Source organism: Homo sapiens, chromosome 22 (assembly GCF_000001405.40).
Source record: "Homo sapiens chromosome 22, GRCh38.p14 Primary Assembly".
Lineage (NCBI taxonomy): Eukaryota > Metazoa > Chordata > Mammalia > Primates > Hominidae > Homo > Homo sapiens.
This window is the reverse complement of record NC_000022.11, coordinates 36,349,823-36,369,933: the sequence shown is the minus strand read 5'-3', so window position 1 is coordinate 36,369,933 and position 20,111 is coordinate 36,349,823. Positions and strand designations below refer to the sequence as shown.

Sequence of the window (20,111 nt, the reverse complement as noted above, 5' to 3'; positions counted from 1 at the left end):
TCCCATGAAGGTGGCAGTATTAGTGTTCCTATTTTGTAGCTGGGAATGTTGAGAGTCCAAGAAAACCTACGTGACTAGCCCCAGGTAGCAAGTGAATGATCTAAAATCCTCTCCCAGCTCCTCATTTTCAGGCCAGTTATTTTCCATATCTACTTCCATCGCCTCTCCTGCCTTCTCATCCCACTTCAACCACTATGTGGACAATAGTTGTGAAATTGGGTTTTTGTAGACTTCCACACATAGCCTCACAGTGGTGGTTGCTGGGTCGCGTTACCTAGTTGGCTTTATGGCACCAGCTGTAAATTACAGCCCTCCCTGTTCCATCCTAAGAGACCTGTCGGGTAGACAGCAGGTGAAGGCTGGCAGGCTGGTGTGAGGTCTGGTTAGCCTGGTCCTTGTGGGGAACCTGGGTTTTTGCTGTCCTCCCTCTGAAGAATGGATACCGCCCCCTCGTACCTTCCTAGCCCACCAGCATGCTGTTCTCAGCCCGCCTTCTGCCCAGAGCCGGCCTGCCGCCCACTGTTTCCTGCCTTTGCCAGGGCGAGGGGGAGGTGGGTATATAATGCCAAATGCTCATGAAAAACGCCTCATCATGAGATTAATTACTTGCTGCCGAGCACTGTGGAATTCACGAGTCTCCATCAGCACCTCAACGTCTTCCCCTGAACTCTACCTGGGGTTAGTTCTGTGGACTCTCTGGCTAGAACTTTAAACCTATGTTAGACAGAAAGAAATAGATAGTGGCCACCAGTACGATGCTGAAGATCAGTCTGGCAAAATCCCTCCTGCCATTGACTAGCTGTGTGTCCTGGAGGCTTGATGTCCTCAAAGTGGGGACGCTAGGCTGAGGGCGCTTTCTGGTTGTGAGGCCTGGGTGTGCTGACCTGTGCAGTATCATACACCTTGGAGGACCAGCGTGGTACAGAGGGGCTGCAGAGGGGTGGGTCTCTTCCCTTTTAATACAGGTCACAGGCTTTAATGACCCTTAGGTTGAAATTAGAGCCCCCCCACCCCCACCCCCTTGCCTTACTTCTGGCTTTTACACAAGAATCTGAAGAATGTGATGCTCTATCGCGGACGGGGCAGGCTTCGCAGGCTCTTCCGGGCTTTGCAGGGCAGCCTTTGTTGTGCTGCAGGACCTGGGGCATTCCGAATTGGTTGTGGTTGGGAGTCAGAGACAACTCCAGGCTTATTAAATTCCTGGCTGTTTAGGGCGATATAGACAGCTGGGAGGGGTAAGGGTGGGGAGATAACACTCCTCCACCTCCCAGCACTGTTATCTTAGAGAAATTGGGTTAAAAGTGAGTCTGCTGGAGGGGATTGGTAGCAGACAGGAGGACAGATACTGGTGCTTTGGCCCTGGGCTACTGGAAAGCTTGCGGGTCCACCTCTGCGCTTCTCCTTCCTGATCACGGAGCAACTGCTGTTGACCAGGTCCTATGTGACGCCTTGCCAGATGCTCTGTGTGCATTCGCTGTCTCATTGCACCCCTAGAGGCAGTGGAGCAGAGTGGTTAGGGATGGAAGACCTGGAGCCCCAAGTGAGACCTGCAGGGTACAGACACCGGCAGCTAGTGCCTGTGTGTCCTTCAGCAAGTAAGCCTTCTGGCCTTGTTTCCCCATCTGCAAAACGGGATACCACTAGAATCTACCTCACAAGAGTGCTGTGTGCTAAAGTGAGATTCCTGGTGAAAAGCACTCAGAATAAAGTGCAAGTGGCCGTTATTTAATTACCAACAGGGTCCTGGGAGGTGGGCCTTTTCATTCCCATTGTACAGATGAAGAAAGGGAGGTTCAGGACATTTAAATAATTTGCCGGATTTCCTGAACCAGTGAGGAGAATCCAGCGCTTACCTCCAGGTTGGCCTGACTTCGGCCATATCCCAGCATCCTCTGGGGTGTCTGTATGCAGGCATGTGTGTGTGTGTGTTTGTATATGTGCATGTCTGTTTGCACAGGTCTCTGTGTGCATGTCTCTGCACCTCTGTGTGCACAGATCTTTGCACGTGTCTGTGTGCATGCATATCTGTGTGTGTGCAAGTCTGTATGCACCCATCTTGGACTGGGGAGGGGAGGAGGGGGCCTGGGGCTCTGTCCAGGGCAGGATGGCATTGGCCCAAATCTGGCAGCTCTCTAGAGCAGGGGCCGCTGCTGCTTCCTTCTTTCATGTGCAGCCACAGCTTTGGCCACTTTCAAACCAGACTGTGGCCTGGGCAAAGGAGTGCTGCTTGGTGAGTGGTAAAGTAAGCGGTAGTCACGTTTCTGGGGAAGGACTTGGTAAGGTCATCCTGCCGGCCAGGCTGCCTGCTCAAGGACACTGGGGTTGGCCAGCCTTTCAGACAAGGGTGCTGCCGCAACCCAGTCTAGGAGCGGTAAGTTAATTTTTCTGTAAAGTGCAAAATAAGTGGATTTCATCCTCACTTGTATTTGATCATTTCCCCCGGGGAATGCAGGAGGCTCTGGGATGCTTCTCTGGAAAGCTTGGCATTGCCTGCCATGCCTTCTATATGTCCAGGGCTGGCTGTGTGCTTGCTCATTTGAGAACCGGAGCAAGGGATGGAAATGTCGGGAGGAGAGACCGTTCACCCTTCAGTTTTGGGCTTCTTGTTCCTGGAGTCCAGGGCACCCCAGAGCAGTGCAGGAGAATCGGCCTCCCTCCCGTGCCACGTGGACTCTTGCTATTGGGTTATTCTGTCCACAGCTTTGCTTCCTCAGCGAGATCCTGCTTAACCCTCCGGAGGGTGACGAAGGAAGAGATCCTGCCTCAAGTCTTTGTTCATGTTGCCTTGGTAGAAAAGGAGGCCGCACTAGTGCCCCATTACCTTTGAGCTTGTGACCAGGGGACTCCTAAAAGTCCATGGACCGCACTGCAGAGTCTCTGCGAGCCCCCTAACGTGGTATGCAAGGCGTTCACCACCTCTCACAAGTTCTCAAAGGGGTCCTTGACCACTGACCTAGACAAATAGAAGCTTTGGGTTTTCCATTTGTAGAGTGTGCACACGTGAGTGTCGCATAACGGATGCAGCCTGGGGGCCGTTAGGATCAGGATGGGGGTTTGTTCTAGTCTAAGTTGTGCCACCCCAGGGGTGATCACTTTCCTGGGGCTCATCACTGTAGCTCCAGCACAGTGGCCTTCCCCTCCCTGATGATCCTTCTTGTATTTAAGCCTTTAGAACACCGTCACTTCTGGGTATCTCTTCAGTGTGGGGCTGGGCCTGGAGATGGGAGGGGTGATGTTTCTGATGCCAGACTTGATCTCTTGTTACCTTGGATGCTGAGGAAGGTGGGCTCCTCTTTCGTTCTTGTGCTCTTGCCCCTGCACATCGGCAGGGATGTTCCCGGGAAACCCTGTACCTAGGCAAGTCACTTAGCCTCCCTGAGCCTCTGAGGCTCTCTCCTTTTTTAGGGGGAGGGGCCGCGTGACCCTTCACTTTGCCAAGGCTGGCGGGATCAGATGATGTAAACACCACGAGATGAATGTGTCAGGTGATTGGGTTGCTACAGCTGAGTCTCACTTGCCTGGAGTGGGACACTCCCCCCGACCCCCCACCTCTCACTGAGTTTCCCTTTGGCTTTGGACTTGAGTTTCTGCTTGGCCTGGCTATGTGATCTTAGGCAGATCGTTCCTCTCCTTCCTAGCGTAGATAAGTCACGGTGGTGTTTTTCAAGAACTTTCAAGTGAGATTCATCGGTGGGTCGTGAAGTGAGTGGCAACCAGTTTGTTTGTTTATTTATTTATTTATTTTTGAGATGGAGTCTCGCTCTGTCACCCAGGCTGGAGTGCAGTGGCAGGATCTTGGCTCACTGCAAATTCTGCCTCCCAGGTTCAAGTGATTCTTTTGCCTCAGCCTCCCGAATAGCTGGGATTGCAGGTGCCCACCACCGTGCCTGGCTAATTTTTGTATTTTTAGTAGAAACGGGGTTTTGCCATGTTGGCCAGGCTGTCTTGAACTCCTGACCTCAGGTGATCTGTCCGCCTCAGCCTCCCAAAGCGCCTGGATTATAGGCGTGAGCCACCATGCCTGGCGGGCAACCAGTGTGTTTAGAAATGAAATAAAATAGACTTGAATGGAAAAGAATCAGAGTGAATAGCATGTGTATGTCACATTGTGACAGTTTTGTTAGACATGTTTGTATTTATGACAAAAAGTTTTTAAATTAAAATTTAAAAAAAGGCCGGGTGCGGTGGCTCATGCCTGTAATCCCAGCACTTTGGAAGGCTGAGGTGGGCAAATCACTTGAGGTCAGGGGTTTGAGACTAGCCTGGTCAACATGGTGAAACTCCGTCTCTGCTAAAAATACAAAATTTAGCTGGGTACGGTGGTGCATGCCTGTAATGCCAGCTACTTGGGAGGCTGAGGCAGGAGAATTGCTTGAACCCAGGAGGTTGCAGCGAGCCAAGATTGTGCCACTGCACTCCAGCCTGGGCGACGGTGAGACTCTGTCTCAAAAAAAAATAAAATAAAAAAATAAAAATTACAGCTTAAGATAAATGTTGGGGCCCCAAGGATGAGATGCCCTGGCGCCTCTGGCAGCCCTGACTTAGGGTGGTTCCTGCCTCCAGGCCCGAGCTGAGCTGCATGTTCAGCCAGGGCTGTAAAGGGAGCCCCTTGCCAGATCAGACTCCTTTACTAAAGGGCTTAACAAAATTCTGGGAAATGAGCTACCTTCCTGGGGTGGAATAAATCATGTCGAGTTGGGTTAGGCAGGATGTGACTTCAAACCCTCGAAGTGGGCTGTGTGAGGGCAGCGTCTGTGACTGACTCATTATGAGCTCAGTGGTGACACAGGCTGTCTTGAGAGGAGGCAAAGATCATGGGGGAGGGGCTGGTGTTCGGGGCTGCCCCGAGCCCAGCTCTGGGAGCTTATTTTGTCATCACAGTGGCACTGTGAGTTAGACGATACTCCGATCCAATGCAGAAGTAGGGGCTGGTGGGGGTGGGGGTGGGGGCTGTCAGCTAGACCCACTGGGGCTCCTTGTAGCTGTCCATGGGGGTAGCTGGGATCAGCTCCATTTTACAGGTGGAGAAACTGAGGCTTGGGGCCCAAGTCAAGCTGCAAAGTTTGCTGTTAGTTAAGTGGTGGCTCTGGCATTCCACAGGCAGCCTGTCTACCTCCTGGCTGCGGCTCGTCCTCAGATGCCTTCTGTGAAGGCTGTAAGTGAAAAATCACCATGAGCAGGTCCCTCTCCTTTTGAAGCCCATGATCAGAGTCCACTGTAATGACCGCTTGATCAATGCAGGGAGATTGTTGCTGACCCCTGGCCAGTGATGTGCCTCTTGGAAACAAAATAAAAATTAGTGTACGGCAGATATAGTTATCAGTGAGGCAGGGGGTGGGGCGGAGGGTGAGGACCCTGGATGGCCACAGAGAAGCTATGGCCCATTGTGGGTGGCCCTTGCTGTCTGTCCTGCTAAGGGGAGACATGAGCCACACCATAGTCATGTGGACTTATTTGGACAATAAGATAGAAGATGATTGGGCTTAACATCAGGCACTTAAGAGTGGGTGACGCAGATTTGACTGGAGTTGGTCCCTGGAGTCTGGACCTTTGGGAAGATGGGAGCCTCTCCCATGACTTTAGTTCAGCACCTCCCATATGTGGGGCACTGGGGATGCAGTGGTGACCCGATCTCTGCCTTGGAGCCCTCAGCCCTGCAGGACTAGAGGTGAGATGGCTACTGGGGGAAAGTGGCTTCTCATTCATTCGCTTTTTTTGTGTGATTTAAATAATCACTCAGAGGATAACAAGCTGCTGAAGGCTTGAAGGGTTCTAGGCTGAGCAACCTTCAAAAGTGATCTTCTGTTTCTGGTCTCTGGTTGCACTTCTCAGCAGTCGTGATGTGGACTCAGAAAGCCCTCATGCTGCACTTTCCCACTGAGACGGTGGCCGTATAATTACATCTTCTGAGTATGGTTATTTTTCTGCATTGGGTTTCAGCAAACTGTGCTCACATGCTTGAGGAAAGAAAAACCATTCTATCAGCAGAAGCTAAGGGAAGGAATAACTTTGCTGCAGGAATCTGAAGGGTTCAAGTTCCCCCTCCTGGGGGTGTGGGAAGCCTCCAGCCAGCTGGGGAGATACCATCTGCAGGGGGACATGCTTGGTGCGCTTGGTGAACCCAACCAAACCCTTCCCCTGTCAGCCGCTTCCAACCTGGGGGTGAGTCAAAGGGGATCATCTGCCCCTCACTATTTAGGAGGGGACGTCCCCACCATACCTGAAACAATTTGCTTTTCTTTGCAGTTTCTTCTGGGTGACTGAGAGAAAGCTTGTTATTGAGTAGGTAAGGCGCAGGTGTGATGTCACTGTGCAAATATTGAACCAATTAAAAGCAAAGCCAAGGGTCCAGTGTAGATGACTTATCTGCAGATCCAGCCCTAGGTCTGTCTGCCTGGCCTCTTAACATGGGGCAAAAGCTGCTTAACCTATTGTTTCCTCCTCTCCTTCCTTCCTTCCCTCCTTCCTGCCTCCCTCTGTCTCTCCCTCCAGCTACCCTTGGAGTGGTCATTCTCTTGGACTGCCAGGTTCCCAGAAAATACTTGCAAGCATTTTCAACAATTCAGTTATTTTCAACAAGCATTGATGCTCTCTCTGCAGCACCCTGGGCAAGAGCAAGAGGGTTGGGGAGACAGTTCCTGCCTCTAGAGAGTTCTAAGAGACAGCAGAGGACACAGGCAATGAAGCCATGGTTCTGTATAAGGCAGATTGCGCTGGGCCTGTTGGGGAGGAGGGAGAAGGGTGAGTAATTCATACTAGGGTAATTCATACTATGAGTAATTCATACTAGGAGAGGCTGCCTGGGGGCGATGGCATGTCCACTTGGTTTTGGGGACTCTCAGTCTGTGGAGAATTGGGGAGATGGGCCCTCCAGCTTGTCTCTGGGTGACAGCTGAAGCAAAGGCTGCTCTGGGGAGTGTGCTCTAGTGACTGGAATGGAGGGTTGTAGCAGGGGATAAGAGAGGTGTGGCTGGAAAGATGGTTGAGAGGCACTGGTGGAAGGCATTGGGGTGGGGTTATAAAGGCTGTAGGGGGCACACTTCTATCCATGCTGGGCGGGCTATCATTCTGGGGTGATGGCAGGGCTGGCCTCAAACTTTTGCTGCTTTCTGCCCTGGCTCATTGGTTGTTTGATTTATTCATTAAGAAATGGTTTCAGGCCGGGTGTAGTGGCTCATGCCTGTAATCCCAGCGCTTTGGAAGGCTGAGGCAGGTGGATCACTTGAGGTCAGGAGTTCAAGACGATCCTGGCCAACATGGTGAAACCCCATCTCTACTAAAATACAAAAATTAGCCGAGCGTGCTGGCATGCACCTGTAGTCCCAGCTGAGGCGGGATAATCACTTGAATCCAGGAGGCAGAGGTTGCAGTGAGCCAAGATTGTGCCACTGCACTCCAGCCCGGGCAACAGAGCGACTCAGAAATGGTTTCTGTGCTGAGGATCTAAAGCCATGTCTCTGTGGTCCTGAAGTTGGTATCTTAGTGGAGGACACCCCATTGGACACTTTATTGTGTAGTCTGTGTGACACATGCCACATGAGATCTGTGCCTAAGATGCTCTGGAAACACTGGCCCTGGAGCTCCTGGGATTGCTTGGTCACTTCTCACTGTCGTAGGACGGTGATTCCAGGACTCTCCTCGAGCCAGGCTCTATGGAGTAGGAGATCAGAGGGTAAAGTCTATGGCTGCACTTGTCCCTCTCGTGTCATTTAATCACTCTCCACCTAGCCTGGTCAGGGAACTGTCTTTTCTTCTCTTAGATTGGAAGCTCCCTCCTTGCAAGTCCCCAGTATTTTCCAACCACTGACTTCTCATTGCCCCCTCCATGCAGGTAAGGGAGGATGATTTCTGTTTTTTTTATTTTTGAGGCAGAGTCTCGCTCTGTCCCCCAGGCTGGAGTACAGTGGCGCAATTTCGGCTCACTGCAACCTCTGCCTCCTGGGTTCAAGCAATTCTTGGCCTCAGCCTCCCGGGTAGCTGGGATTACAGGCGCACACCATCACGCCTGGCTAATTTTTGTATTTTTAGTAGAGATGGGGTTTCACCATGTTGGCCAGGCTGGTCTTGAACTCCTGACCTCGTGATCTACCTGCCTTGTCCTCCCAAAGTGTTGGGATTACAGGCGTGAGCCACCGTACACCCCCAGCCAATTACTTTAAAATACAAATCTGATGTCACCTCTGCTCCTCCCCAATTATCCCTAGAATAAAGTCCACATTCCTAAATGGCTGATAAGATCCTGGGTTAGCTGCCCCAGTTTATCTCCTCCAGCCTGTCCCAAGCTATTGCCCCCACCCCTTCCCATGCAGGAGGAGGGACTCTATGTACCACATTCTGGTTTCTGGTGTCATTTTTTTTTTAAAAGAAATTGTTCATTTAATTTTTAAGTTGACAAAAATTGTTTATATCCATTGTGTACAACATGATTTGAAATACGTACTGGTGTTGTTTTTGATAGCCTGAGTTTCCTTCGGTGCCAGGCAAAGTGAAAGTGACCACAGGCCCTCCCTTGGACAGGCAAATGCCATCATCTTTCATTGTTTCCTGGACTTTCAGCAGTCACCTGAGCCCCCCTCCATGCCCGCTTCAAGGAGGCAAAGGCAGAACCTGCAGATGGGGCAGGCTCTGGGGCCCGGGCACTAAGTTCCTCTCTGGTTTTCTTATCTGCTAAGCATCAACACAGGCTTGGGTTGGAATACTGCTAATGGAAACAAGTTCCAGCTTCTTCTGTAAGCAAACAACATTCCTGAGGTGGAAAGGGAAGGGGGGCCCACCCGCAGTCTTCAGCTCCTACCTCCTGGGCACTGGCAGCTGGGAGGAGCCCCCCACTCCTTGTTAGCCTGGGGAGAGTGAGGGCCTAGGTCGAGGCTGCTGTAGGTTATTAGCCCTGGGTGACAGAGGAGCCACTTTATTGACCCACCCTGTAGATAACTGCTCTGACAGCCCTGGTGTGTATTGCAGAGAGTGGCCTTGTGCATACCTGTGAGCAGATAGGACATTTTGCAGGTGGGAAAGCCGAGGCCTGGGTGGTGCCTGCAGGATTGCACAGCTGGTCAGCACCTCGCTGGACTCAAATCCAGCTCTTCTGCCACAGGCTTTGTGCCCATCTCACCAGACCAGCATTTCCCAGACCAGCATGGAGAGAGGTTTTTCCTGCAGGATATTCCTGGGATGGAGTTAAGCAGATTTCTTTTTTCTTTTTCTTTCTTTTTTTTTTTTTTGAGATGGAGTCTCACACTGTTGCCCAGGCTAGAGTGCAGTGGTGCGATCTCGGCTCACTGCAAGCTCCCCCTCCCAGGTTCACGCCATTCTCCTGCCTCAGCCTCCAGAGTAGCTGGGACTACAGGTGCCCGCCACCATGCCCGGCTAATTTTTTGTATTTTTAGTAGAGACGGGGTTTCACCGTGTTAGCCAGGATGGTCTCGATCTCCTGACCTCGTGATCCGCCCGCCTCGGCCTCTCAAAGTGCTGGGATTACAGGTGTGAGCCACTGTGCCCGGCCTAAGTTAAGCAGATTTCTTTTTGCAGGCTGCTTCCTACAACATTTTGTGCATATTGTGATTGCAAGAGGGCCATAGGGAGACGGCATTCCATCCTTACTCGGCCACGAAACCCTCTTCCCTCTGCAAATTGCTGTCTTTATAGTCACTGTCCCTGAGAACTGTCCTCTATGGATGGATATAACCTGCAGAAAGAGTCACTAGACTCCTGGTAACTGATTTTCAGAGGGCCCAGGTGTCATTCCTAGGAAGAATGGGGATTAAATAGCTCAGAATCACAAGATAGAGGAGTTGGGAGGGAAATTCCTATCATGCCATTCTCCACTGGGAGCTTGAGCTACAACTCTTCTGATGTTAGGTGGTGGTGGTGGTGGTGGTGGTGGTGGTGGTGGTGGTGGTGGTGTTTGTCCTCATTCTAAAGCTAGGAAATTGGGGTGCTAACAGCTTCAAGGTCACAGGAATTGTGAGCAGGGGACCTGGGACTCCAATCCAGGTCTGTCTGGCCCCAAAGCCATAAACTCCATTGTGGTACATTACAAGCATTTATCTTAGGGTTTGCAGAACCAGGACCTCACATGGCTGTGGTTTTTCCACTTCTGTCTGTCACTTCTGAGTTGATACCAAAGGTTGATGTTGCCAGCACCTACTTGATAGATGGAGGCGTAGCATTCCAGGAGGGCACACGACCTTCTCATGGCATCCTAGCAAGAGCAGAGGCCATGCCAGCCAAGATTCTTTCTGGTATGTCGGACTGGTAGTAGGTGGTAGGTGCCTCTACACTGGTTAATCAGGGGGTGCTAGAAGGTTCTAGAAAACAGAGATGGTTGAACTATATGTAAAACCAGTAAATTATCCTCAGTCCTATTTCTCTTTGTAGATTGAAAGCCCCAGTATGCATTCTTTCCCTTTTTGTTTTGAGGATATAAAAATTAGTCCATAAATGGTTTGGTGTTTGTAACAAATTAGGTGGCTATAACCCTTACGCGTGTGTGGTTTCAACTTGGCTCTCCTGTTACCTTCAGCTCTCCAGCCCTGTCCCTCTTTGCACAGCCACAGCCCAAGGGGATTTTCCAGCCTCTGGGGACCTTCCCCATTAAGTCTTTCTTCCTCATTTTGGCCTTGTTTCTCATTTATTCATTCAGGACACTTTAACTGAGCACCTGCTCTGGGCCAGGCATTGTGCCAGACATTTGGAATTGATGAATGAGACCCAATTCCTGTCCTCAAATAAAACTACAAATAATGAGTATTTAGCTGTTTGGTTACAGTGGAACAAGTACAGAGCACAGACGGGAGGGCCATAGATATGAGACATCTTTTTGCTGCAAAAAGTCTTTAGAGAAGGGAGCGTTTGAGCTTTGATCTCAGAGAGGGTTCCTAATACAAAGGACACTTCTCTGCCTTCTTTGAAGGCCTGGAGGCCTGAGCAGAGTGTAGTGTGACTGGGGAATTGATTATATACCGCTGGGAATGACTGTGGCAAAAGGAAGGGCAGGGGCAAGATGAATGGGTGGGGTCCTAGAGGGCTTGCTTAGCATGCAGATTTTATTCTGGTGAAGGTGTGGAGCTGTCGAACCATTTTGAACTGATCAAATAATATCAATGAAATAGGAAGTCATATAAATAGGAATTTGAATTTGTGAGTCATCAGAAAGGAGTTCTGTAGAAGTGGCAGGGGAGGCCAGGAGGGAGGCAGTTGGAGCAGTCCAGAAGGGAGGGCCTGTGGGCCTGGACTGGAACAGGGCACGGGCAGTGGTGTTGGCGGAGGGCTGGGGAGGAGTTTACGGTGACTGTCTTGGGTGGCCAGATGGATGGTGTCTCCCAGAGATGGACACCCAGAAGAGGGTATGGGTCTGGGGAGAGATGGTGGGGGAGTTCAGGTGTGATGGTGCATCCACCAGGTGGAGATGGCTCGTTGGTAGGTGTTTAAATATATTTATTAATATATGAAGGGGTGTGGGGGAGAGCTCTGGGCGGGAAATAATCCGGCTGTCCCAGTGGTGGAAGCCATGGATTTCCTGGGTCTAATCCAGATTGATTTGCCAAAACTATTCAATAAATAGCGTTTGGGCCTGGTGCGGTGGCTGACACCTATAATCCCAGCACTTTGGGAGGCCAAGGCGGGCGGATTGCCTGAGCTCAGGAGTTCGAGACCAGCCTGGCCAATATGGCGAAACCCCATCTCTACTAAAATACAAAAAATTAGCCGGGTGTGGCGGTGTGCACCTGTAGTCCCAGCTACTCGGGAGGCTGAGGCAGGAGAATTGCTTGAACCGGGGAGGTGGAGGTTGCAGTGAGCCAAGATCACGCCACTGCATTCCAGCCTGATGGGATTCCCAGGGTGGGGTGAGCTGGCACAGCTGTGTCAACAGCTCCCACCCCCAGCCTCCAAAATGTGGCTCCCGCTTGTCTTCCGTTAATCATCTGGACCCTTTGATGCTGGTGACTTTGCTTATGAGTCGCAGGCTGAGCTGCCGTGTTGGAGGTTCTGAAGGTGCTTCTTGCCTGCCTGGGGAGGCACATCAGTCTCTTCTGCCTGGTTGATTGGTTTACTTTTAAATTGGGTATTCAGGATCTTTAAAGCACAGTCCAGCAGGAGAATCTAGGTCAGATCTCTTAGAATACAGTATGTTACAAGGAGCTGTCATTCCTTGGTGACAATGCCATCCATAATGGCCATTTTTATGGGGTCCTGGGAATCCTTTTGCCCTGAGGATTTCTGTTTTGTTAAGGAGATTTGGCCCGTGCACTTCAGAGATGGGGGAGGATGACGACTGAGAGGTCTGGCTTCATAGTGCTGCGTTTGTTCACACGAACCCCTTCAATCAGTGGGCTCAACCGGGTGTGATTTGTCTTCCCCCGCAACCCCCAATTTCCACCTTTGGTGATGTCTGGAGAGGTATTTGGTTGTCACAACTGGGGACAGGGTGCGACTGGCATCTAGTGGGTAGAGGCCAGGGGTGCTGCTCTGCTGCTAAATACCCCACGTGGCACAGGACAGCCCCACCACAAAGGATTCTCTGGCCCCAGATAGCCATAGTGCCGTGGCATCGTTTTGTATGTGGTTATTGAGCGATCGTACCTTCTTCCTGTACGTTGGCTCTTGCTTTTCTCCCTCGGCCCGGGATACCTTTCCACCATCTCTTCCCTTCCCTGCCAATATTCTACCCATCTTCCAGGACCCAGTTTAAATGTCATATCCTCCATGACACTCTTCGCTTGAGTGTCCAAGGAAGTGTCCCTTTCTCTTTGTTCCCACGGCAAGTTGCATGTTCCTCTCCTCTTCTTCGCTGAGTCAGTGGTGGAGCCGGTTGTTGACGTGGTTCTTCCTCTCTGCATGAATGTTCCACTATGGTAGGTGTCCTGTCTCATCATTATGTGTATTTAAGGAATACATGCTGCATTAAGCAGCCCTGCAAGGCAGGGAAGGCAGCATAAAATATTATCTGCATTTACAGTTGAGGCCAGAGAGGTGGCACCGGCCGAAGGCCACACAGCAAGGAGTTTCTGCATTCATCCACATGGCAGATCTGTCTAGCGGGTGCTTACTGCGTTTGGGTGTTGGATTCAGCAGTGAACAGGACAGAAGGAAGCCCAGGAGCTTGCTTTCTGTCTACTCTACCACATTGCCCAGGTGGACACTCCACCTAGTCACCTAGGTTCATGTCCGTCCTGCCGCGCGACCTCATTAGAAACCCCCTGGGATCTTTATGCCTTTGTCATGATTTTTTTGCATGTGGATTCTCTATGTATTAGTTGATTGAATAAGTGAATCAAATGAGCTTGAAAAATTCTACATTATTATAGCAGCTGCTTTCAAAGAATCTTTTTTTTTTTTTTTTTTTTTTTTTTTGAGATGGAGTCTCACTCTGTTGCCCAGGCTGGAGTGCAGTGGCACCATCTCAGCTCACTGCAACCTCTGCCTCCTGGGTTCAAGCGATTCTCGTGCCTCAGCCTCCCTAGTAGCTAGGATTACAGGCACGCGCCACCACGCCTGGCTAAGTTTTGTATTTTTAGTAGAGACAGGGTTTCACGGTTTTGGCCAGGCTGGTCTCAAACTCCTGACCTCAGGTGATCCACTCGCCTCAGCCTCCCAAAGTGCAGGGATTACAGGCATGAGCCACCACGCCTGGCCCAAAGAATCTTTCTTAACAATGGAAGCCAGCTACTTCGATAGTTTTATTTAACTCAAAACCAACGGCCGCAAGTAGAAAGAGAAAGGACATGTTCACCTGTGTTCTCCAGGATGGGGGTGGGGATGGAAAAAAACAAACAGAGGGGCTGCTTGCATACATCAGTGGTGAGGCTGGAATAGGGCTTCCAGTGTCTGGGCTGAGGCCGCTGGGGTGTCTGAACTGAAGCCTTGGCGTGCCCAAGGCCATTGGAGATTGGTTAGGTCAACTCCTGGCAGACTGGGCACAGAGAACTCAAATGGCTCACCCAAGGTCACACTCCCACCTTCTTTCTTACTTTTAGCACCCAGCAATTTAGGTCGGAAGGATGGAGTCCCTTGTGCAAGCCAGCATGGGGAGATGGGGTTTACAGCTTTGAGGTGGCATTATCAATGTCTGCTTAATTAATAAAGGGGGGGTTCTCTGTTTGTTTGCTTCTTGTAGCCCCCTTGACCTCACCAGTAAGGCAGCTAAGGGGGAAACGGAGCAGGGCATTGAAGCCACACGGGGCTGAGTCTGACCCTAGGTTTTGTGCCTTGTCTGAGCCCCATTTCCCCCACCTGTAAAATGAGTATGTATGTGCCTCATGAAATTATTGCAAGGATTGAGTGAGAACATGCAGCGCTTCCTAGCAGGTCCTTGGTCTATGCAGCTTTACGGTGAAGGTGATGACTTGGACACTCCCAGCCTAGAACTTGGCCCACAGAAAGGTTTACATCAGCCCTCGTTGTCTGGGAGTGGAAATGCTCTCAACGTTTCAACCAAAGATCTGAGAGTAGAATACATTCTGTCTTTAAGGTGCTAGCTGTTCATTTTCCAGACAAACCCACAAATAAGTAAAAAGAGAAACGGAGGGAGGGAGGGAGAGTATTCTCTGGGAAAACAGGGAGAAATAAAAGATCCATATGATGTTTGTGGGGAAGGGGAGAAGGCAAATAATTGAGGCATTACATTTTGGGTTGAAAGAAGATGTTTTTGGTCAACCTATTTACTTTCAGTTTCATCATTTCCTGAGAGTCCTAATTTAGCCTCTGGTTGTGTCCCGCTCGATTATGGCCTAAAAAGGCAACTGCTTGGGTTTCTTGGAGTTGGACTGGCACCCGCAGGAAGCCGGCGGGAAGGAAAGCGCTGGGGGATGGCCTCAGCCTGATCCAATCTCATCTCCAGGGGCGAGAGCTGCTTGCTTCCTTCTGAACCTCTTGCTGGCCTGCCCATTCCCACAGGAGCTCGGGACTTTCTGAGCCACGGAGATCTTTCCTCTGTGTGTGTGTGTGTGTGTGTGTGTGTGTGTGTGTGTGTGTGTGTTTTGTTTTTTGTTTTTTTGTTTTTTTAAGTGGTAGATGATGATGCTGGTTGGTTGCTTTCACATGTACATCCTGCTCAAATGGCAGTGCATGTCGATTCAGCCCTTTTGGAAAACAATTGGATGGGACATCCCAGGACTGTAGAAGTGTTTGTATGTTCTTTTCTCCCGTAACTCCACTCCTGGGAATGTATCTCAAGGTGGTGGTACACTACGGCCGGGTGCGGTGGCTCACGCCTGTAAGCCCAGCACTTTGGGAGGCCGAGGCAGGCAGATCACCTGAGGTCAGGAGTTTGAGACCAGCCTGGCCAACATGGTGAAACCCCATTTCTACTAAAACTACAAAAATTAGCTGGGCGTGGTGGCGGATGCCTGTAATCCCAGCTACTCGGGAGGCTGCAGCGGAGAATCGCTTGAACCTGGGAAGCGGAGGTTGCAGTGAGCTGAGATCACGCCACTGCACTCCAGCCTGGGTGATAGAGCGGGACTCCATCTCAAAAAAAAATAAAGATGGTATACTAGATAAGAGGGTAAAAAAACCTTATAAGTGGTCCTTAAAAAAGAAAAAAACACTTGAGAATATTGAGAATATGCTGCAGCCATTAAATGTTGGACAGTGAGGCCTTGGTGTCAGGAGTTCTGGGTTCAGGTCCTCATTCCCCAGCTTGTGTGACCGAGTAGAGTTACTTTCTCTCAGGGCCACCACTGCATCATCTGTAAAATGGGTTGGATAAAATTGATTAACAAGCAAATCTGAGGCTGGGTGTGGTGGCTCACACCTGTAATCCCAGCACTTTGGGAGGCCAAGGCAGGCAGATCACATGAGGTCAGGAGTTTGAGACCAGCCAGGCCAACATGGTGAAACCCCGTCTCTACTAAAAATACAAAAAATTAGCCAGGCGTGGTGGCACACGCCTGTAGTGCCAGCTACTCGGGAGGCTGAGGTGGGAGAATCGCTTGAACCCAGGAGATGGAGGTTGCAGTGAGCCGAGATCGTGCCATTGCACTCTAGCCTGGGTGACAGAGCAAGACTTCATCTCAAAAAACAAAAACCAAGCAAATCCTAGCCCTACAGGAAAATAGTCACAGTAAGTAAGGAAAATACAAAATCTGAAACTCTGTCCTCTGCCTGATAGTTAAAAATCAAGTGTTTCCATGAGCCAGGTCCAGAAAGGACCACGAAAAGAAAGAGAAAACTGATTTTGCAAGGCGGGGAGAGGCGGTGGGGGGAGTTCAGGAATTTAGGGGATTATTTTTCTTTTATTTTCAAAAACTTTTTTATTATGGGCAGTTTTAAAAAGTTTCACCTGGGCACAGTGGCTCATGCCTGTAATCCCAGCACTCTGGGAGTCCAAGGCGGGCAGATCACCTGAGGTCAAGAGTTCAAGACCAGCCTGACCTAAAACCCCATCTCTACTAAAAATACAAAAATTAGCCGGCTGTGGTGGTGGGCGCCTGTAGTCCCAGCTACTCGGAAGCCTGAGACAGGAGAATTGCTTGAATCTGGGAGGTGGAGGTTGCAGCGAGCTGAGATCTTGCCATTGCACTCCAGCCTGGGCAACAGAGTGAGTCTCTGTCTCAAAAAAAAAAGTTTCAAAGAGGCTGTTTAACAGCCCCAGGACAGAGTAGGAAGGAGTGGCTGCACGCTGGCTGCTGTGTTTGATAGACTACCTCCCGGGTATCCCGCTGTCGTGCCCCTTATTGAATTTTTAGCAGCTCTTTACTATCCCCCATTCATAAATGAGGCATATGGATTATAGATAAGGTGGTTTAACCCACATGCATCCTGGAGAGGTCTGAGTATTAACCTGACTGAACACACTTATACACACACACACACACACACACACACACACGCCCCCAGAGGCACAGGATACGAGTGGAAACAGCAGCTCTGCTGCAGCCCTGTGGCTCCCCATCATTGAATGTGGCTGATCCTGCCCAGGTGGCCGAGGGGGCTTTCATAGAAACTCCACTGTTTATCCTGACCTTTGCGGCTCTCCCTGCCGGTCTAACCCGTGTATTGATCTTGGCGCCGCTGCTCACCCACGTCATTCTAGCAGAGTTGCTGAAACCAAATAGCCCTGTCCTTGGCCAGGCTGAGCAGAGCCCAGCCTTGCTTAATGAAAAGTTCTGGGAGGGAGGTGCCCAGCAAGCTGGGGCTCTGACCTTCAGCTGGAGCCTTGGTCCTTGGAGGCGGGGGGTGTCCCTGGTGGGATGCATTCTCTCTTCCTCTTGCAAGAACTGTGGCTTGGTGGCCAGGCCTCTGCTAGTCTTCAAGTGGACACCACTGGCCTGTGACTGTCCCCTGCCCTCCCACCAAAGCCTGAAAGTCGGACAGGGTGAGGTTCTGAGGGCAGTTGGTTGGGTGGAATTCCTCCCCGCCAGCTGGTGTGATGTTTGTGACCCTCCAGAGCGGATTTCCAGGGCAGTCTGAGTGCCTGGGCCCTGCAGCCTGAGGGTGCCCATGGGCTGCCGAGAAGCCAGGCTACCAGATGGGTTCTTTGCTGTTAGGGTTGGCATTGCTGGGGCGAAGCAGCGTTTGAGGACGGTCAGAGCTCATTCTGCCACTGCTGATGGGCTGCAAGCTTGCGCCGACAGTAGCGGGCCGAGGGAGTAAATCTTGAGTTCTAACGTGCCTGCTTTTTGACGGGCCATGTGGTCCACACTGGGAAGGCTCACTCAGCCTTCCTGCCTACCTGATAACATCCGGCAAATATTTGTTGAACGCTCTGGAATGCATTCCTCTCCACTCCCCACATCACACTCAGCTCGTGGGGACAGTTAGGGCCCAGCTCCAGTGCCGGCCTGGCTTCCGAGGGACCCCAGGCACAATTGTTCTGGGAGGAGGCCAGGCACAGGAGCCAGGCGTCCCTGGGTTAGCGTCCCACTCCATGCCTGGGTTGGGCAACTCTGGGCAAGTGACTTGCCCTTTCTGAGTCTGTTTCCTAGTTTATGAATTGGGGATGATGAGACAGCTCTTTCCCAGGATGGTTGCCAGTTAGGTGAGGTGGTGAATAAACTGAGCGTGGTGCTGGGAGGTACTTAGTAACCATCCCCTGCCCCTTCTGCTCTCGGTAGGAGTCTCGTGAGGGGCACCGATGTCCTCAGATGCGTTCATTGGCGGGGTCAGCAACACACTTAGGGTTTGGGGGCATGGGGTTCAAGTGAGTCTCTCTGCTATTCATGGAGTTATCCTTTGTGGGTTTGAGGTCTATGAAAAGGCTGAGAACCCGCAGCCTGAGACCTGTGTTCTGTGATTGCTGCAAGGTCTTGAGCAGGGCAGGGGCGCGATGGGGAGACTTTGGGGAGCCTGGGTGCTGGGACCCTAGGGGTGCCTGTTGACTAGTTAGTGGTTAGACACATGGTAGGGAGAAAGAACAACTAGGATTTACCTGGCAGGGAGAAACCTTGGATTTGCTTGAATGGACTGGCCAGGGTGAAGTGCAGACAGCTGAAAATAAGCTGGTGGTGCCCTGGAGGCTGCTCCTGGTATAGACCCTAGACCTCAGACCCGCAGCAAAGACGAGGGGCGGCCAGGCAGTTCACAGCCACCGTTCCTGTCTTGTTTGCTCTGACTCATTCTGAGCCCGGCCTGCTCTCAGGGTGGTCCTTGCAGAGTGGATGTGCCCCCTGGCCCCCACAAGGGTCTGTGGGGTTTGCCTGTGTTGGGAAATGTCAACAGAGCCACCGGCCGGGGAAGCTGGTGATGCTGCCAAGCTCTGTTCCTGGGACTTGTGTCCCTCCTGGCGAAAGGGAGCCAGCAAAAAGGTTTTTTCCTGGAAAACCGCCCCTTCTGGAGTGAGTCCAGGGGAGCCCCTTGGCCTTGACTGAAAACCACTAATGAGCCCAGATGAAAAGTTCTGGTCAGCCTAGATTTTTCCCTTTGTTCTTTCCCTCCCATGCCCCCAGCCTCCTTGGGATCCAAGTCCCTCTTGGAATCTGGAAGCACAAAAGCCCATGGTGTTCCGTGTTTGGATCTGGGGACTTCCTGGATTGCAGGGGCCTGAGGGGAGGGGGCTTGATCTCATAGAGGGAAAAAAAACCTTCCTGATCTTCCTTGATTTCCCAGCGGGAGCTGGGCAGTGAGCTTCTGGGCTGCCTCCTCTGGTGGCCACAAGCTGAGTCAGTTTTACACTAGGGTAGTCACCTCAGGTGATCCCAGCCTGCGCCTCTGAGCAGGAATAACGATGGTGTTAGTCGTGGAAAGGCCACAGGACTGGATGACTATGGAGAAGCCCCTTACATCCAGGGAGCTTGTTTCCTCATCTGTAAATTGGTGGTAATAATATATACCTTACCTGGTTTACAGAGTTGTTACTACAAAGACCTTTCGAGATAGCGAAATATGTGTGAAAGCATTTCATAAACTATAAAACCATACAGATATATAAGGCATTGTTATTTTATGTCTTTTTTTTGAGACGGAGTTTTGCTCTTGTTGCCCAGGCTGGAGTGCCATGGCACAATCTCGGCTCACCACAACCCCCGCCTCCTGGGTTCAAGTGATTCTCCTGCCTCAGCCTCCTGAGCAGCTAGGATTACAGGCATGCGCCACCACGCCCTGCTAATTTTGTATTTTTAGTAGAGACGGGGTTTCTCCATGTTGGTCAGGCTGGTCTCAAACTCCCAACCTCAGGTGATCTGCCTGCCTCGGCCTCCCAAAGTGCTAGGATTACAGGCCTGAGCCAGTGTCCCCAGCCTATTTTATATCTTCATTTTGCAAATGAGTTTTGAAAAAAGCAAACACACATGAACTTAAGTTCTCTTGGCTCATGAATTGTGAGGGTCACTTTTGACCTTAGTGTCCCCAAAGGGAAGCACTCTTAGCATTCTCCATGTTTCTTGGAACCTGGCATCTTTTCTCTGTGCTTTTTTTGGGCTGTATTATCAAGATGGAATTAAAATCTGGTGGCAACATGTACTGATGTTTTATTTTCTTCTCTTGTCTTAGTTGACTTCATGAACTAATAACAAGTTTTTTAAACTGGAAACTTCCACTATGTGGGGTTGTAGTCAGTTGTGTTTTTTGGCTGATTAGAAACCTGTTTTTGTTGGAAATCCTCCCAAACTGTGTGGCTACTTTGCTACCTTTGTATCTGTAGCATAGCGACTTGAATTGCATCTGTCTTTGAG

General features: G+C 50.8%; 1 protein-coding gene across 1 annotated transcript in view, besides 11 other annotated features; it reads left to right on the top strand.

Annotated features, from left to right (window-relative positions):
* Positions 1-20,111, top strand: part of MYH9 (myosin heavy chain 9) — a 106,688-nt gene that overhangs the window by 18,034 nt on the left and 68,543 nt on the right. The gene's annotated exons all lie outside the window — the stretch shown is intronic.
* Positions 574-663: an enhancer, noted in NCBI's record as "active region_18929". NCBI's record gives its function as "activates an Ori minimal core promoter by ATAC-STARR-seq in GM12878 lymphoblastoid cells {active_cell/tissue: GM12878}" and the evidence as "EXISTENCE:reporter gene assay evidence [ECO:0000049][PMID:35858748]".
* Positions 976-1,270: a silencer, noted in NCBI's record as "tiled region #8689; K562 Repressive non-DNase unmatched - State 5:Enh". NCBI's record gives its function as "represses a minimal TATA promoter and a strong SV40 promoter by Sharpr-MPRA in K562 cells {active_cell/tissue: K562}" and the evidence as "EXISTENCE:reporter gene assay evidence [ECO:0000049][PMID:27701403]".
* Positions 4,650-4,749: an enhancer, noted in NCBI's record as "active region_18928". NCBI's record gives its function as "activates an Ori minimal core promoter by ATAC-STARR-seq in GM12878 lymphoblastoid cells {active_cell/tissue: GM12878}" and the evidence as "EXISTENCE:reporter gene assay evidence [ECO:0000049][PMID:35858748]".
* Positions 4,760-4,849: an enhancer, noted in NCBI's record as "active region_18927". NCBI's record gives its function as "activates an Ori minimal core promoter by ATAC-STARR-seq in GM12878 lymphoblastoid cells {active_cell/tissue: GM12878}" and the evidence as "EXISTENCE:reporter gene assay evidence [ECO:0000049][PMID:35858748]".
* Positions 6,295-7,235: an enhancer, noted in NCBI's record as "H3K27ac-H3K4me1 hESC enhancer chr22:36758744-36759684 (GRCh37/hg19 assembly coordinates)". NCBI's record gives its function as "activates a minimal SCP1, AML or CMV promoter by ChIP-STARR-seq in primed H9 embryonic stem cells {active_cell/tissue: H9 hESC(primed)}" and the evidence as "EXISTENCE:reporter gene assay evidence [ECO:0000049][PMID:30033119]".
* Positions 10,478-10,687: an enhancer, noted in NCBI's record as "active region_18926". NCBI's record gives its function as "activates an Ori minimal core promoter by ATAC-STARR-seq in GM12878 lymphoblastoid cells {active_cell/tissue: GM12878}" and the evidence as "EXISTENCE:reporter gene assay evidence [ECO:0000049][PMID:35858748]".
* Positions 10,788-10,857: an enhancer, noted in NCBI's record as "active region_18925". NCBI's record gives its function as "activates an Ori minimal core promoter by ATAC-STARR-seq in GM12878 lymphoblastoid cells {active_cell/tissue: GM12878}" and the evidence as "EXISTENCE:reporter gene assay evidence [ECO:0000049][PMID:35858748]".
* Positions 11,943-12,884: an enhancer, noted in NCBI's record as "H3K27ac-H3K4me1 hESC enhancer chr22:36753095-36754036 (GRCh37/hg19 assembly coordinates)". NCBI's record gives its function as "activates a minimal SCP1, AML or CMV promoter by ChIP-STARR-seq in naive H9 embryonic stem cells {active_cell/tissue: H9 hESC(naive)}" and the evidence as "EXISTENCE:reporter gene assay evidence [ECO:0000049][PMID:30033119]".
* Positions 14,778-15,278: an enhancer, noted in NCBI's record as "H3K4me1 hESC enhancer chr22:36750701-36751201 (GRCh37/hg19 assembly coordinates)". NCBI's record gives its function as "activates a minimal SCP1, AML or CMV promoter by ChIP-STARR-seq in primed H9 embryonic stem cells {active_cell/tissue: H9 hESC(primed)}" and the evidence as "EXISTENCE:reporter gene assay evidence [ECO:0000049][PMID:30033119]".
* Positions 15,279-15,779: an enhancer, noted in NCBI's record as "H3K4me1 hESC enhancer chr22:36750200-36750700 (GRCh37/hg19 assembly coordinates)". NCBI's record gives its function as "activates a minimal SCP1, AML or CMV promoter by ChIP-STARR-seq in primed H9 embryonic stem cells {active_cell/tissue: H9 hESC(primed)}" and the evidence as "EXISTENCE:reporter gene assay evidence [ECO:0000049][PMID:30033119]".
* Positions 16,229-16,958: an enhancer, noted in NCBI's record as "H3K27ac-H3K4me1 hESC enhancer chr22:36749021-36749750 (GRCh37/hg19 assembly coordinates)". NCBI's record gives its function as "activates a minimal SCP1, AML or CMV promoter by ChIP-STARR-seq in primed H9 embryonic stem cells {active_cell/tissue: H9 hESC(primed)}" and the evidence as "EXISTENCE:reporter gene assay evidence [ECO:0000049][PMID:30033119]".